The 17,890-nt window shown below is 43.2% G+C and overlaps 1 protein-coding gene across 2 annotated transcripts in view; it reads left to right on the top strand.

Moving 5' to 3' along the window:
- MYO1D (myosin ID) overlaps positions 1–17,890 on the top strand; it is a 384,603-nt gene that overhangs the window by 335,399 nt on the left and 31,314 nt on the right. The window lies entirely within an intron of this gene.

The raw sequence follows: 17,890 nt of genomic DNA, 5'->3' as shown, positions 1-17,890 counted from the left end.
TACTGCGTGCCAGGTCCTGTGCAAAAGTTTTACATGAATTTTTGCTTTAATCCACCTGCACATTCTCTTGGAGCTGGGACTGGACCACTCTCTGATTCTAGATACTTTCTAGCTAACTATCTAAAGAGCTTTATTGTGATATAAATTCACATACCATACAATTCACTCACTTGAAGTATGCAATTCAAAGGTTTCTAGTATATTCAGAGTTGTGCAACTATGACCATAATCAATTTAGAAATAATTATCATAAATGAAAACCCTTTGGCAGTCACCCCCATTCTCTGAAAGTCCCCACCCAACTCTAGGCAATCACTAATCTACTTTCTGCCCCTGTAGCTTTGCCTACACTGGACATTTCATATCAACAGGATTATATAATATGTGGTCCTTTGTGACCAGCTTCTTCCTCTTGGCGTAACATTTTCAAGGTTCATCCATGTTGTAGCATGTATCAGGACTTCATTCCCTTTTATTGCCAAATAATATTCCACTGTATAGATAGACCACATTGTATTCACCTGTTTGTCAGTGGATAAACATTTCAGTTGTTTCCACTTTTTGGCTATTATGAATAATGCTGCTTTGAACTTGTGGATATAAGTTTTTGTATGGACATGATTTCATTTTTCTTGAGTTAAATATTTGAGTCATATAGTAAACCATATCTTTAACTTTTTGAGGAACTGCCAAACCATTTCCCAAAGCAGGTGACCACTGTATTTCTACCAGCAGCGTATGAAGCTTCTAATTTCTCCATTCCTTGCCAACACTTACTGTCTTTTTTTTTTTTTTTTTTTTTGAGACGAAGTCACTCTGTCACCCAGGCTGGAGTGCAGTGGCACAATCTCGGCTCACTACAACCTCTGCCTTACAGGTTCAAGCAATTCTCCTGCCTCAGCCTCCTGAGTAGCTGGGATTACAGGCCCACACCACCATGCCTAGTTAATTTTTGTATTTTTAGTAGAGACGGGGTTTCACCATGTTGTCCAGGCTGGTCTCGAACTCCTGACCTCAAGTGATCCGCCCACCTCAGCCTCCCAAAGTGCTGGGATTACAGGAGTGAGCCACCATGCATGGCCATTATCTGTCTTTTTGATTATAGTCATCCTAATCGATATGAAAAGGTATCTCAGTGTAGTTTTGATTTGCATTTCCCTGATAACTAAAGGTGTAAAGTATGTTTTCATGTGCTTATTGGCTATTTGTATATCTTCTTTTAAAAATATCTATTTAGATCCTTTGTCTACTTTTCAACTGGGCTGTCTTTTTATTATTGAGTTCTAAGAGTTCTTTATGTAGTCTAGATACAAGTTCCTTATCAGATATATGATTTGCAAAGTTTTTTTCTATTCTGTGGGTTTTCTTTTCACTTTACTTTTTTTTTTTTTTTTTTTTGAGATAGTCTCTCTCTGTCACCTAGACTGGAGTACAGTGACGCGATCTCGGCTCGCTGCAACCTCTCCCTCCTGAGTTCAAGCAATTCTCCTGCCTCAGCCTCCCGAGTAGTTGGGATTACTACACTTGGCTAATTTGTACTTTTAGTGGAGACGGGGTTTCATCATGTTGGCAGATTGGTTTTGAACTACTGACCTCAGATGATCCGCCTGCCTCAGACTCCCAAAGTGCTGGGATTACAGGCATGAGCCACTGTGTCCGGCCTCTTTTCTTTTTTTTGGCAGTATCCTTTGAAGCACAAAAGTTTTTGATCTTGACGAAATTCAGTTTATCTATATTTTCTTTTGTTGCTTGTGCTTTTGGTTTAGAGACCGTATTTTTAACCAATACATTATTTGAACTTGATTCTGTGAGTTATGGAAAGTGACTGAAGGACTTAAAGTTGTAGAATGACCTAAAACTTCTCATTTTTAAAAATCAAACTAATGCTTATACATGTGTGGCAGGCTAATGATGATTCCCAAAGAGATGTTCATGTTCTAATCCCTAGAACCTGTGAATATTATCTTATTTGGAAAAAGGCTCTTTGCAGATTTAATTAAGAATCTCGAAATTAGATTATCCTGGATTATTCAGGTGAGCCCTACGTGGCACTAATAAATCCTTATAAAAGAAAGGTAGAGGGAGATTTAACACTCACAGAGAAGGCAGTGGGAAGACAGAGGCAGAGACTACAATGATGAAGCCACAAGTCAAGGAGTGCTGGCAGCCACCCGAAGCTGGAAGAGACAGAGAACCCTAGAGGCTCTGGAGGGAACATGGCCCTGCTCACACTTTGATTTCAGACTTTTGGACTCCAGAACTGTAAAAAAGTAATTTCCTGTTGTTTTAAGCCGCTAAGTTTATGGTAATTTTTTACAGCAGCCATAAGAAACTAATACAGTATGGTTTTTAAAAAAATCAAAGTGAAAGGGTTTTAAATGAAAAGATAACATGCTGCTCTGTGTGTGTGTGTGTGTGTGTGTGTGTGTGTGTGTGTGTGTGTGTGTGTAGAGACAGGGTCTTCCTACGTCACCTCGGCTGGTCTTGAACACCTGGGCTCAAACGATCCTCCTGCCTCGGCCTCCCAAAGTGCTGGCATTACAGGCATGAGCCACAGAGCCAGGCCTTTAAAAAAAGTCATATTTGAACATCATCTATTTTATTTATTTATTTATTTTAAGTTCCAGGATACATGTGCAGGATGTGCAGGTTTGTTACGTAGGTAAACATGTGCCATGGTGGTTTGCTGCACCAGTCAACCTATCACCTAGGTATTAAGCCCAGCATGCATTAGCTATTTATCCTGACTCTCTCTCTCTCCCCCAACCCCCACCCACAACCGGCCTCTTGTGTGTGATGTTCCCCTCCCTGTGTCCATGTGTTCTCATTGTTCAGCAGCTCTCACTTATGAGCAAGAACATGCGGTGTTTGGTTTTCTGTTCCTGTGTTAGTTTGCTGAGGATTATGGCTTCCAGCTCCACCCATGTTCCTGCAAAGGACATGATCTCATTCGTTTTTACGGCTGCATAGTATTCCATGGTGTATATATATCACATTTTCTTTATCCGGTCTATCATTGATGGTCATTTGGGTTGATTCCATGTCTTTGCTATTGTGAATAGTACTGCAGTGAACATACATGTGGACATCATCTATTGACCTTTGACTATAAAAGATGGTAGTTTAGGGCAGGCATGGTGGCTCATGCCTATAATCCCAATGCTTTTGGACACCAAGCCTCAAGGATCACTTGAGTCCAGGAGTTCAAGACCAGCCTGGACAACACAGCAAGACCCCATCTCTACAAAAAAAAAAATAATAATAATAATAATAATTATCCAGGTGCAGTGTTGCATACCTGTAGTCCCAGCTACTCAGGAAGCTAAGGCAGGAGGATCACTTGAGCCCAGGAGCTCAAGGTTACAGTGAGCTATGATCATGCACGCCACTGCACTCCAGCCTGAGCAACAGAGCTAGACCCTGTCTCTAAAAAAAAAAAAAAAGATGATTTATTTTACTTAGATGCCTTTGACTACTCCCTCCCAATTTTTACTCGTTTTTCCATTATCTTTAGCTTACTGTCAGTTACTATTGCAACTCAAAATACTGTAATCATCAAATCTAAGATGCCATCTACTATAAGATGCACCATTATTTTCTATTCCACTAAGGAAAAACAGCACTGCCAATTATACTTCTACAGTATCATGAAGAGTAAGGAGCTTCCCAGTTCAAAGACATTACAGGTTGAAAAAAATGGGGCCTTAGAAACAGTGAAATACAAAAATATACAAGAAATTTTTTTCATGCTCCATCAACTTCAGACCCCCTTGACTCACCATGTCAAATGAAGATATAAGTGGCCCAGATTTTCTCCTTACTGCTCCATGTCCCTCTCTGAACTTTTGACAACTATAGCTTTACTTTTACATTGTTAATATTAATATTTATATTGTTTTCCACTTTGGTGATTGATTCTAAAGCCAAAACCCAATAACTGACATTTATATTACTATGATTTTGTAAGCATTGTTTCCTTCAGAGCCAGGTAGCGTACTAGGATGACATTTCCTTCTTATGGATTCATTTCTCTCTCTATGGACCGCTATGCTAATGGACAACCCTCAGTTCAAACTGGTCATTTCATAATTGGAGTATTTAAATGTTGTTTGTCAAGTCTTAGGCTAATTATAAAAAGCAATTAGACCCTAAAAACTAAACATTTATGATACTGGCATGTGTAGCCCCTGCTCTTTGACATCACTCTATCTGTAGACCTTCTCTTCAATTCCTTATCATCTAAACCTGGAGTCAGCAAACTTTTTTCTGTAAAGAGCCAGATAATAAATATCTTAGGCTTTGCAGACCATATGGTCCCTGTAACAAGTACTCGGCTCTTCCATTGTGTCACAAAAGCAGCCACGGACAATATGGAAATGAATGGACATGGCTGTGTTCCAGTAAAACTTTATTTACAAAAACAGGCAACCAGATTTGGCCCTGGGTCTTAGTTTCCCAGCCCCTGATATAGAAGAATAAATCGTGGCCCTCATATCTTGGGACACTATGAATATTTCAATTTGGAAGGTTTTGAATACTCTAAATTGAAATGACTGTAACATGGGCCACACGGGACTGAAAAAACACTTGAAAATCTAAAATTCTTTAGATGTCATTAATATAGGTCATCTTCCGGCCCTAGGAGGAAACAAGTCTGCTGAAGTTGCACTCTTAGATGTTTCTCCATTCCTTGGGCAAATCAAGTAAGACAGAACAGAGAAACGTCTTTCATCCAACCACACATTTTCTGGGTCAAAGGTGGCCTTTCAACTCCAAAAATAGAACTCTTCCCAACCTCCACTTCCTGCTGACAAGAAGTGTGAACTCTTGGATTTCTAACTGTGAAAGGATGCAATTCATGGAACTTTTTTCCTAACCACCAAAATGAAATCCTGGGTAATAAAGCTTAAAAGGAATCAGTAACAATTTTTGGAATGTTGCCAATGTTTAAGGATATCGAATGGAAAATTCTACAGCCGTGACCCAGATCCGATTCTAAGAAATAATTTCAAACTTTAAAATGAAAAATATAATGCATAATATTTTCTTATTCATACTATCATTAATTTCCCAGCTTAAATCTAATTCTGGGAAACTAATTAATTGGCGTTGTCTTTAGAATTATCCACTTGAAAACTTAGGAATTTAAGCCAGCACATAAGATCTATAACTCATATAAGCCAAACAGCCATATTTATGATTCGTTTTAATATCTAAACCAGTAAGAACCCACTAATTCGGCCATGATAATAAAAGTTAGTTTCGGGTTTAAAATGACCTGATACAATAGAATCTTCTTTTAGTTTTCCCTCTTCAAGATATGACTTGTGATTTAATATAGGTTTCCTTTTTTAGACCTAGAAAATAATAGAATTAGAGTCTGTATCCTGGGGCCAGGCACAGTGGCTCATGCCTGCAATCCCAGCACTTTGGGAGGCCGAGGTGGATGGATCACTTGAGGTCAGGAGTTCGAGACCAGCCTGGCCAACATGGTGAAACCCTGTCTCTACTAAAAATACAAAGATTAGCCAGGTGTGATGGCTTGCACCTGTAAATCCCAGCTACTCCGGGAGGCTGAGGCAGGAGAATCTCTTGAACCCAGGAGGCGGAGGTTGCAGTGAGCCAAGATCATATCACTGCACTCCAGCCTGGGCAACAGAGCAAGACTCCATCTCAAAAAGAAAAACAAAAAACAAAAAAAAGAGTCTGTATCCTGGGAGACCCATAACTCTTGTCTGTCTGCACTCTTCCAGTCTGCAGCTATGCGCTGCCTCTCATGGCTTTGAGTACAAACACTCTCTGCAGGAATAGAGTTAAGCTTAAAAAAGAAATTTGCCCTTCTCCCTCAAGTTACTACAGTCTTATTTCTGCAGGTAAAACACCCTGAGATCCTCAAAGATATTATCTAAACGCTATTGAGTTTTGTATAAATATTCTATAAGTACGATTTTTGTTTTGTTTTGTTTTGTTTTGTTGAGATGGAGTCTTGCTCTGTCCCCCAGACTGGAGTGCAGTGGCACAATCTTGGCTCACTGCAAGCTCCGCTTCCTGGGTTCAAGCGATTCTCCTGCCTCAGCCTCCTGAGTAGCTGGGATTACAGGTGCCCACCACCACACCCAGCTAATTTTTTGTGTGTGTTTTTAGTAGAGATGGGGTTTCACCATGTTGGCCAGGCTGGTCTTGAACTCCTGACCTTGTGATCCGTCCACCTTGGCCTCCCAAAGTGCTGGGATTATAGGCGTGAGCCACCGCGCCCGGCCACAAGTACAATGTATTGTTTCTCTCTTCAAATGTATTGAATCTCTCTTCAAAGAGATTGAAGCCTATGTTTCAAAAAGTGTGTTTTTAATTATTATTACATGGTTTACGTTGCAAGTGCTATGTACTAGGTCATAAAGTGAAAATTTAATCTGCAATTATACTTAAGTGAGCAAAAGATGTTGCATTTTCAGTTTTATGCTTTAAAATATTTTCACATAAGCTAAAAGTTTGGCCTCATTTTCCCAAAGTATGCCATTCACTTCTAACGGTTTACAGATTAAACTTTTAATTTAATTAAGACTGAAAAAGAACCTCTAATAGAAATAACATACATGCTTGATTTGGTGGAAAACTGTCCTTAAATTTAATATTCTCAGGTCCACACCAAATGTCTTGTATTACTTTGCAAGGATTGACTTCTCACAACTGGCCACTAGATATATCTGTATGGACTTAGCCGAATGATTTTCATTTTTCTAAAGAACAAAACGTTTGTGTGTTAACTTTCCATTCTCTATACGTAGTTGGGCACACAGATTGACTAAAATGGCACCTCTTGTTCCCTGTTGACTGAAGCACAGCAGCTGGGGGTTTTTAAGATTTATTTAACTGTACTTCGCTCACTCAATTCCATTCCTTCTTGTGGCCCTCCAGCTGGTCTCACATCTACGGGGTGTAAAGAGAAAAAGGGGGGGATTTCTTCAGTAATGGAAGCACACATCCCAAAAACAAGGAATTAATATTAGCCCCAGCATTTGTCAGAGAAACATCAGCAGAAGCTTCCGCCGCACTCTTCAGCTGTTTTTTGTACTTCGCCCTTTGCAACAGATTATTATAGGACTCACTGATAAGCCTCTAGATCTCATACCCATTAAGGATTTAAACTTTCCAAATAAAACATTCCTCCTTGAGAAATAGAATCTTTGCTGTGTGTCTATATGTGCCCTCATTACCTTGCTTAGGGGTGTTCTTCTTTTAAAATATATTTTTCCAGCTGGGCGCAGTGGCTCATACCTGTAAACCCAACACTTTATGAAGCTGAGATGGGAGAATCACTTGAGGCCAGGACTTCAAGACCAGCCTGGGCAACATAGCAAGACCTTATCTCTATAAAAATAAAAAATTAAAAAATTAGGTGGGTATGGTGGCACATGCCTGTAGTTCCAGATACTCAGGAGGATGAGGCAGGAGAATCACTTGAGCCCAGAAATTCAATGCTGCAGTGAGCTATGATCACACCACGGCACTCCAGCCTTGGTGACAGAGAGAGACCCCATCTCTAAATTAATTAATTAATTTTAAAAATGTAATAAAAGTAATTATTGCATATGGATGGGGAAATGTTGGAAAACTTTAAAAAATTACTTTATAAAGAAAAAATTTAAGTCAGCTATAATTTTGCCGTGCAGAAATTACTATTACTATCCTATTTAAGTAGCTATGAAGTCATGATAGAAAGCAGGTTTCACAAGTTGATTTTCTCATTTAATATACTACAAGTAATTTCCTATTAACAGAAAACTTTATGCAGTCATTTAAAAATTTTTGTTTATTGGGCATTTTGATAATTTCCCATTTTTAATTTTAATTTATGCTATGATGAGCATCTTTATAATAAATATTTGTAACACTTCATATTTTTTTAGGGTAACTTCAAATAGGGTACGGGCAAAGAAGAAAGTGTGTGTTATCCAATGGAAGAGCAAGTATGAAAGCCAGGAGGGAGCAGAGAGCTCAGCACATGGTGGAACTGAAAACAGTGGAGTAGGGCTGGAGCCTGGAGAGCTGGGAAGGAGCAGGAGGCCTGGGAGCTGGAGAGGTCAGCGGATCACAGAGACACCCAGAGGAGCTTGGTCTTTTTCGTGAGAGAATTGAGGAGCTAAAAGAGAGTTTCAAGCAGGAAATCAGATTTATGGCTTAGAGACGTGTGCTTTAGTAAGATCATTCTGGTTGCAGCTTGAAGAGTGGGTGGCAGGCAGCAGCTGTTAAAATGCTTCAGGTGAGATCTGATGAGTCTGAGTAGTGAAGTGTAGTAAGGGAGGAAAGAAGAGAAGGTGGGTTTGAAACAGGTTTTGGAGGTAAAATCTTCAGGATTTGGTGATGGATTGCTGTGGAGTGGGAAGGAGGTGACATCATGGAGGGCCCTCAGGCTTCTGGCTTGGGTGATGGGTGGCCATGAACCCAGCTGTCTCTTATCCAAGGGCAAATATCTAAGAGGCAGCTGAATATAAGGTTTGGAATTAAAATGGGCTAGAGGTATAGATTTGGGAGTTATCAGCATATGGAATTACCTGAGTATCAATTTACAAAATAAAGTTTCATTTTGCCATAGATCTAAAAAATATATAGAGAAGTCCTGCGAATGGAAGAAGAGGGTAGAGGAGACAAAAGGAATGGTAAAAGAGTAGGAAGACCAGAACACGCTGTGCCTTGAAAGCCATGTGAGAGAGTGTCATAAAGCCATCATGATCTTATTCAATAGTTGGCAGAAAACCAACTATTGACAGAATTCAATGATTTGAAAAACCCAGGGAAGTAAGATGGGATGATCAAGTCTGACTTCTTGAAGAGGACCTGCTGTCATTCATTTTGTAACCACCAAACAAAATAACCTTAGTGTAGATAAAGCCAAATAGAGTTGTTTTGCACCAAACAATGGGAGTGGAGGGCCTCAGCCCTGCTGTGGTAAAATGAGCATATCAGCCTCGTGCACTCGTTTGGTTTTTTTTTTTTTTTTTTTTGAGACGGAGTCTCACTCTGTCGCCCAGGCTGGAGTGCAGTGGCAATCTCGGCTTACTCCAAGCTCCGCCTCCCAGGTTCACGCCATTCTCCTGCCTCAGCCTCCCGAGTAGCTGGGACTACAGGCGCCGCCACCACGCCCGGCTAATTTTTTGTATTTTTAGTAGAGACGGGGTTTCACCTTGTTAGCCAGGATGGTCTCGATCTCCTGACCTCATGATCCACCCACCTCAGCCTCCCAAAGTGCTGGGATTACAGGCATGAGCCACTGTGTCCGGCCCCTTCTTCTACTTTTAATATTCGCCCGACTAAGGGCACCTCTTTTAAGGCCGTGGGTCACCATGAGACGTTGACACTACACTGTTTATTCTGCTACAAAGAATATTTTAATTTCTGAATTGGTGTCATTGAGTAAGCCTGCTTGAGGCGGCAGATATAAACTTGTGTAGAAGTTCAAAAGAAAGCAGATCATTTCTGGTTGAAAGGTAAAAGAAAGGTGCAAATCAGAAAATAATTCACAGAGGGGGCTGTTTTTATCCTTCCTTGGTCTGATACTTGTTTTAAAGAACTGACTTCTCACCGCTTAAATTGGAAATTGTCAGCTGAATTCTCAGCAGCCACATTGGAGCCAGGGATGGCACAGTGCAGGACCTTGAGAATGTCCTTATCCTGTAGCACAAAGGATTAGCTGCCACTTCCCAACAGATTGGCTACTTGGTCATGGTGGTTTGCAGCCAGATGATGATGTAGCCATTAAGAGTGAGTGCCATTGTATGATTCCTGATACTAGTGTTGAGACATGAAATTTTCCTGCTCTGTAAGCAAACAATATTGAACATAAAAAGTGACACATAATACTCTAGAAGCTTAAATGTTGTCCCAATCACTTTTCTCTACATTTCAGCATGATTGCCTGTATATATTTTGAATGCACTTCCCCATGCTGATCATGCTTTCAGGTGTTAGAATAATCTAGCCAAGCCTTCACTGAATGCTTCTCCGCTATCCATCATTATGCATGCACATGGCCATTTTTGTTTGATGCACACAAAAGGTTAATGCCTTGAGCCAGGTTTAGAAAATTGGGGATTAATGTCTGAATGCAGAGCTGATGCCATTTTTTCAGGAAAAGCAATGGCCTTTATAGAATCTTTTTCCAACAACATTCTTATTTGCCTTCCATCAAGTTTTATTTGGTATTGCAGAGTAAGCTTACTATATAAATCAGAACTCTTTCTGATGAAGTGACCAATTTAATCCCAAAATTGAATGTCCTAGAAGGAACTCAGAGAGTTGCAGGACCCTGGGGACTTTAAGCACTAGAACCAAGGACGTGATCACCATCAAGATCCTTTTCTTCTCCTCCCAACCCAGCTCTCTTTCTCCACTCCTCTCAGTCTCTGTGTGCTGGCCTCATTTTTTCCGACAGTAGGCTTCTACACAGGGGAAACCTTGGTCACAGGCAGCTCCAGACTTCCATTATGTCAGCTTAGCATCCTGAAAGAAAGAGAAAGCCTATCTGACTTCAAAATATATGAATCCCAACGGAAGTCTCTGATTGGCCCAATTTGGTTCTCATGCCCTGTACCCAGGCCAAGGCATGGAGGAGAGGGAGCAGGTCCTGGGATTGGTAGATCACATGCCCATCCTCAAGGCTGGGGAGTGTCGGCCTATGCTGGGCAGCACCACCCTGGGTTGCAGTGAGGGAGGATCAGTTCTCCAAAGGGAGTGAGGACAGAGAACTAAAAGAAGGGAGCAGACAGAAACCAATGTCAATTATACTCAATGGTGAGTTGCAGTGAGGGAGGATCAGTTCTCCAAAGGGAGTGAGGACAGAGAACTAAAAGAAGGGAGCAGACAGAAACCAATGTCAATTATACTCAATGGTGAGATACTCTTTTATTAAAAAAAAAAAATTATTTTTAGCAACAGGGTCTCACTCTGTTGCCCAGGCTGGGGTGCAGTGGCATCATCATAGCTCACTACAACCTCAAACTCCTAGGCTCAAAAGATCCTCCCGCCTCAGCCTCCCAAGTAGCTGGGACTACAGGCATGCACCACCACACCTGGCTGATTTTTGCATTTCATATAGTGATGGGGTTTCACCATGTAGCCCAGGCTGATCTCAAACTCCTGGACTCAAGTGATCCTCCCACCTCGGCCTCCCAAAGTGCAGGGATTACAGGCGTGAGCTACTGCACTAAGCCTTTCTTTTGTCTTGAATGATGTCTTTCATTCTTGTCCCAGAGTGTCCTGATGCACCACAATGAAATTATTATATTCTTGGAATTAGACTAGCACTTAGTCTGTAATTTTTTCTCTTCTCATCATGTAATTTTAAAATATTTCCCTATGTTCTACATTACAGCATTTGTTGAGATGCAATTATTATAGTTTTAAAGGGCTTTCACGTACATTATCTCATTTAATTCTCAAAATCTTCTAAGCCATTTTTAAATGTATTAAGCCTATTTTATAGATGGACAAAAAGGCTTAGAGAGGTTCTGTGATTTTCCCAAGACCACAGACAGAGTGTAATGGAGCGGCTCGATGAACACAGATCGGGCTCCTTGCCTGTCCTTGGTGTCACATGCCTTAGATAACTGTCACCTATGTTTTTTAATTTATATTTGTCTCATTGTCCCTGGAGAACTGAGACTCTGCCATCTACTTTTACCACAGAGCTCCACGAAACCTCCTCTAGTGCTGTATACCTTGTGAATGCTGAATAGGTGATGCAGACTGGTAATGAACCAAGGAGTTTAAAACGCTATTGTTCAAGTGGAGATACAGCTGGGAGCCTTTGAGGTTGTGGAGCCCAGGTACAGTGGGAAGACTGCCTGGCTCCCCGTGTTTGTTTACGCGTTGGGAGTCAGCACGGGGCCTCCCCCACGGTGAGGAGCGCTGTCCCTGGAGAGCCTCTTGGAAGGCAGCCATGATCGTGGAGAGGAGTGTTCATGTCTCATCCGGGAAATCTCTCACCGCCTGTGCCCCTTCCCTGTCTTCTCTCAGACAGCCCATAGAAACACATTAGCATCCTGGGCCTGATGCCATTCCTTAAGCAAAAGGCACCTGCCCACCCACATATGTCCATGTGAGTCTCACCCACCTGAAAGCAGCACCCCCTGAGCCCATCCTGGCCACATCCACAAAGCACACCCAGCAGCTCATTGCCCCTGCATTAGAGACACACACACACACGATTATAGAGTTTACCCCTGTGGAAAGTGTTTTCAGATGAAACAGAAAAGGGTCTAGCATCCCTTACTCTGTATTCTTCTTAAGGGAGAAACTTACAACTGCAAAACAGGTCCTGCCCTCCCCACCCGCCCCTTTTCTGGTGGGTTTCTTCCCTCCTCTCTGTCCAGGCAGCTCACGTCTCTGGAGGGACACCTCACCTGCTTCCTGCTATAGCCTCTGCTATGTTCTGTGATGCCTTCTGAGACCCTGCCAGACTACCTGGGGCAGCTTGTCTCATGATCCTCCTGCTCAATTCACAGCTCCCTGTTGAAGTACAAGCTAGTTAACAACAGACACAGATTCAGATCCAAGTGAGGGGTGGGTTGGGCTGTGTGTGTGTGTGCACGCGCACATGCAGAATTTTGATACTGCTCCTGCACATTGCATGTAATGATGTGCAACACTTGTTCTTCTCACTTAGGAGTCCCACCATCTAATGCCTACAGGAAGTAAACCAGAAGTCTCATCCGAGGACACCATCTACCGATCTATGTCAGTTTCCTATTGCCGCTGTAACAAATTACCACAGATTTGGTGGCTTTAAACCACAGACATGTTTTTTTCTCACAGTTATTAAGGCCAGCAGTCCACATTCATTTCACTGGGCCAGAACGAGGGCGTTGGGCAGGGCCTGTTCCCTCTGGAGGCTCTCAGGGAGAATCCACTCCTCCACCCCTCCGGCCTCTGGGAGCTGCCGGCACTCCTTGGTTTGTGACTGCTTCACCCTGATCTGTGCCTCCAGGATCACACTGCCTCCTCCTCCTCCTCCTGTCTGTGTCAGATCTCCCTCTGCCTCTCTTTTAAAAGAATACTTGTGATTGTATCTAGGGTCCACCTGGATAATCCAGGATAATCTCCCCATCTCAGCAGCCTTACATAATCCCATCTGCAGGCCTTTTTGCCACGTACGGTAACATTCACAGGTTCCAGGGATTAGGATGTGGATATTTGGGGGTGGGAGGGCATATTCAGCATCACACACTACCCTTCCCAGTAATTCCCCCGACACACATACACACACACACACATACGCACACACACATATACACACCCCTAAGTTCTACTCAAGAGCTGGCTCTGCTTCTTTCAACTTCCCAGTTCTGAGGAGCCAGCTTCCCAGCTCTGCCATGCACTTCCTACCCATCTCACCCTCTCCCACCTGCAAAGCAGTAATTCCTCAGTGCCTTGCTACCAGCTCTCCAAAGGGCAGAGGAGGCTAGACATCGCCTCTGATCAAGGTACTGGATACCTTCTTCCCCAAAACCACTGGCCCAGTGGGGCAGAAGAGGGCAAGCCTTAAGTGGGGTAGAACCCAAATGGGCCAATTTTACCACCATAAGAATCAAGTCAGCCGGGCGCAGTGGCTCACGCCTGTAATCCCAGCACTTTGGGAGGCTGAGGTATGTGGATCACAAGGTCAGGAGTTCGAGACCAGCCTGGCCAACATGGTGAAACCCTGTCTGTAAGAAAAATACAAAAATTAGCCAGGCCTGGTGGCGGGCGCCTGTAATTCCAGCTACTCAGGAGGCTGAGGCAGGAGAATTGCTTGAACCCGAGAGGCAGAGATTGCAATGAGCCAAGATCGTGCCACTGCAGTCTAGCCTGGGCGACAGAGCAAGACTCTGCCTCAAAAAAAAAAAAAAAAAAGTTGTTTTGCTTTTATGTAGCTTTTATTGTTTTGTTTTATTTTTATAGAGTCTCTCTTTGTTGCCCAGGCTGGAATGCAGTAGCACAGTCACAGCTCACTACAGACTTGATCTCCTGGGCTTAAGCAGTCCTCCCACCTCAGCCTCCTGAGTAGCTGGGACTACAGGCACATACCACCATACCCAGCTATTTTTTTTATCTTATTTTTAGTATAGACGGGGTCTCACTATGTTGCCCAGGCCGGTCTGAAACTCCTGGGCTCAAGCGATCCTCCCATCTCAGCCTTCCAAAGTGCTAGGATTATAGGTGTGAGCCACCAAACCTGGCTACTTTTATGTAGCTTTGACAAGCGCAGGAAATGTCTTGCTTCTGCCCCTCTGTCAGGATATCTCTAGAATTTAAAGTTAGTGAGAACAGAAAGCACATCCTTGGCTTACAGTCCACAGGGCCTGGCAGTGCCTCAACAGGCTGGACACTCCTTGGACAGCCACATGGACTCCTCCTTACTGTGGTTAGCTGCCATCAACCAGTCCTCTCGCCAGCATGCAGGGTGGGTTTGGCAGCGCCAGGCACAGCTTCACATGCCTTCCTTGTTCTTCTGAAGTCCCCTCTCTGGATGGTGACCTTGTTCATGTGGCCATTTTTAAAGCAGAAAGTTGGATCCCAGGCCAAATCCTGCCTTGCAGTTCCGAGAGGCATGTGCTGTCCCCCTTCACTGGTGATGGCGGGCCGGGGAAAGACCCCACTGTGGTCTTACGAAAAGTGTTTGTAGAGAAACCAAGCAGCACTGTATGGGATGGCTGATAATTGCTGCTCTTGGTGTTAGTTCCTATCTGCTTAGGCAGAAGGTTGGGACTGGGGAGGAGGAATGTTAGTGGAGATTTTATGTAACTGTAAACTTCCTCTCTACTGTAAGAAGGATTCTCTTGAAAGAAAATGAAAAACAGTTCCAGATGGTCCATGGAAGATGTTTCATGGTTGGAAACCTATTCTACCTCCTTGTCAAGAATAACTATGCCTTGGCTGGGCACGGTAGCTCACGCCTCTAGTCCCAGCACTTTGGGAAGCTGAAGCGGGAGAACTGCTGGAGCTCAGGAGGTCGGGGCTGCAGTGAGCCATGATTGTGCACCTGCACCCCAGCCTGGGCAACACAGCAAGATTCTGTCTCAAAAAATAATAACTATACCTTGAAAATAGGGGTCCATACTTACCAGCCCACAAAAAAAAAAAAAAGAAGGCTTTATGAAGAGGAAGTACCAAGATCTAGATAAAGAGTCTCTAGCTCCTTTCAGTTATCCGGGTAAGATGTTCACTTTGTATTTAGGTATTAATCTTAGGCACAGACACCATCTAGGAGTCTGTAGTGCCACATTTTCATACATATATGCACACTTGAAGATTTTTTCAAACTCATAACTGACAAAGGACTTTATTTGAATAGATATTTGATACGTTAAAATAGAAGACTTAGAGGCTATTGAAGGGCAAATAATTTGATGTAATCTAAGAAATATATTGGAGGGAAAGGAAGAGAGGGAGTTCTTGTTGAGTTCGAAACAATATAGAGCTGATATTTACAGAGGAGCTATTATGTGCTGAGCCAGAAGTGGGGATAAAACAGTGAACAGAACCCAGACCCTGCCCAGGGTTTACAATCTGGTGGGGGAACCAGATGAGTAGACGGGATTACAATGCAATGTGTTAAGTACATTAATAGGGGATATACGTCAAAGGGGCAGTTAAACCTTTCTTGGAAGATCGGAAAGGCTCCTAAAAGTGATGCCAATATTGAGGAAAAAATGACAAATAGAAGTTGATCTGGAAAAGAGACCAAGAGTCTTCCAGGTGGGGAATAGCGTGTGCAAAAGCCTAAAGGCAAAACCATCGTGGCAAACAGGTGTATGAGGGTGAACTAGGAGACAAATAGCTGAATGACCTAGCGAGAAGGGCAGGTAGGTGGGGAGTTGGGAGGTCCAGTTTCTCCTCGGGCTGAGTGACCCTGCCTCTCCTCCATGTTAGCTATTGTCACTGAAGGTAGCGCCAGGGAGCCCAGCAAGCTGCCCAGTTCTCTCTACTTTCTTCTGTGGCATCTGAGACTCCAGGATGGGCTCCAATTAGAAACTGCAGGGAGGGCCGCTGCAGTGTCTCTCGGCCCCAGAACTGATATTTCTGGGGCAGAGAGAGTTGGGTCCTGAAAGTTGAAATAAATGTTCCTTTCTAGCAGGGTTCTGATCGCTTCTCGGCCTTTTGGCTAAGATCAAGTCTAGCAGGGTTCTGGAACTGTCCCCAGCGAGGAGCAGGTTATCAGATGCACAACTCTGATGTCACACCTTATTATATCCCAAGAAAAAAAAAAGTTCTTGGTTATTACCTGAAAAAAAAAAAACCCAAGGAATTTTAGAAATCACTTGATAAGAAATGTCAAGACATACTGACTAGAAATCAAACCACAGCAGCTGCTTCCCACAGCTGCATGCCATGTGGCGACCTCATTTGAACAGTTAGTGAGGCTTAAAATAGCCAGGAATGTAAAACTCTTCAGGATCAGGTCTCTCAGTGAGATAGCCACAGAAATCCACGTGGGGAAGGAGAGAGGGGAGGTTTGTCTTGAAACCGTTGGAGCAGTGGTCAGAGGACTATCAACTGACAGCCAAATAAATCCTACCAGGAGCCTGTAGTTCCCCACTCCTATGAATGATTGAAGCTAACGGTGCCCATTTGACAGATGGTAAGAAAAGTATGTTGGCCCCTGAATGCTTGCAGATTGAGAATTCCTAATTCAGCTATAATCCAAATACAGTTGACTTCCTAAGGAAAACAAAAGTAACGAGATGTAGGCTAGGTGTGGTGGCTCATGCCTATAATCCTAGCACTTTGGGAGGCCAGTGCAGGAGGACTGCTTGAGCCCAGGAGTTTAAGACCAACCTGGGCAACATAGCGAGACCTTATCTCTACTAAAAATTAAAAGAATTAGTCAAGGCCAGGCGCAGTGGCTCACGATTGTAATCCCAGCACTTTGGGAGGCCAAGGTGGGTGAATCACAAGGTCAGGAGTTCAAGACCAGCCTAACCAACATGGTGAAACCCCATCTCTACTAAAAATACAAAAATCAGCCAGGCATGGTGGTGGGCACCTGTAATCCCAGCTACTCAGGAGGCTGAGGCAGGAGAATCGCTTGAACCCAGAGGCGGAGGTTGCAGTGAGCCGAGATCATGCCACTGCACTCCAGCCTGAGCAAAAGAGCGAGACTGTCTCAAAAAAAAAAAAAAAAAAAGAATTAATCAGGCATGATGGCACCCACCTGTGTGGTCCCAGCTACTCTGGAGGCTGACACAGGAGGATTGCTTGAACCCAGAAGTTTGAGGCTGCAGTGAGCTATGATGGTGCCACCGCACTCCAGCCTGGGTGACAGAGCGTGACCCTGTCCAAAGAAAAAAAAAGAAAAAGTAATGAAATGTAAGTTCATTTTTTCCATCCTACGCCTGAGCTTGTTAGCGCAGAGAGTGTTTTAGTTGTGAAACTAAGACTGAGACTGAGACTTTCTCACCAATAGAGGGAAGAGTGAGTTGACGTCGGAAGGAAGCATGCTCCACCAAAGACAAAAGCAAAATGATGCTTTTTTTACTGTGGGAAATTCAAAACGATGCATATATTCATTCAGCCCCAGAGAAAACAGATATGCTTTCCCAAACATAGAAAAGCACCAACAACTTTTTTATTCCATTTTTCTTGTAAGAAAACTAGTTTACCCTGGTTGTAGCAGCTCTGTGGCAATCATAATAGCAGCAGCACATGCTGATTACGCACGGCACTGTGCTCCAGGCACTGTGCTGAGAGAACTCTTTGCCATGGATCATTATCTTTTGATCTTCACAAAGTCTGTATGAAAATAATACTATCGTCATCCCCATTTCATGGCTGAGGAAACTGAGGCTTGGAGAGGTTAAGAAGTTTGCCCCACGGCTTACTGGTTGTTGGGAGAAGATGGGATTTGCCCCGACCA

The sequence above is a fragment of the Homo sapiens genome, chromosome 17 (genome assembly GCF_000001405.40).
Source record: "Homo sapiens chromosome 17, GRCh38.p14 Primary Assembly".
Classification (NCBI taxonomy): Eukaryota; Metazoa; Chordata; class Mammalia; order Primates; family Hominidae; genus Homo; species Homo sapiens.
The sequence above is the reverse complement of the archived record's forward strand: the minus strand, read 5'-3'. Positions and strand labels throughout refer to the sequence as shown.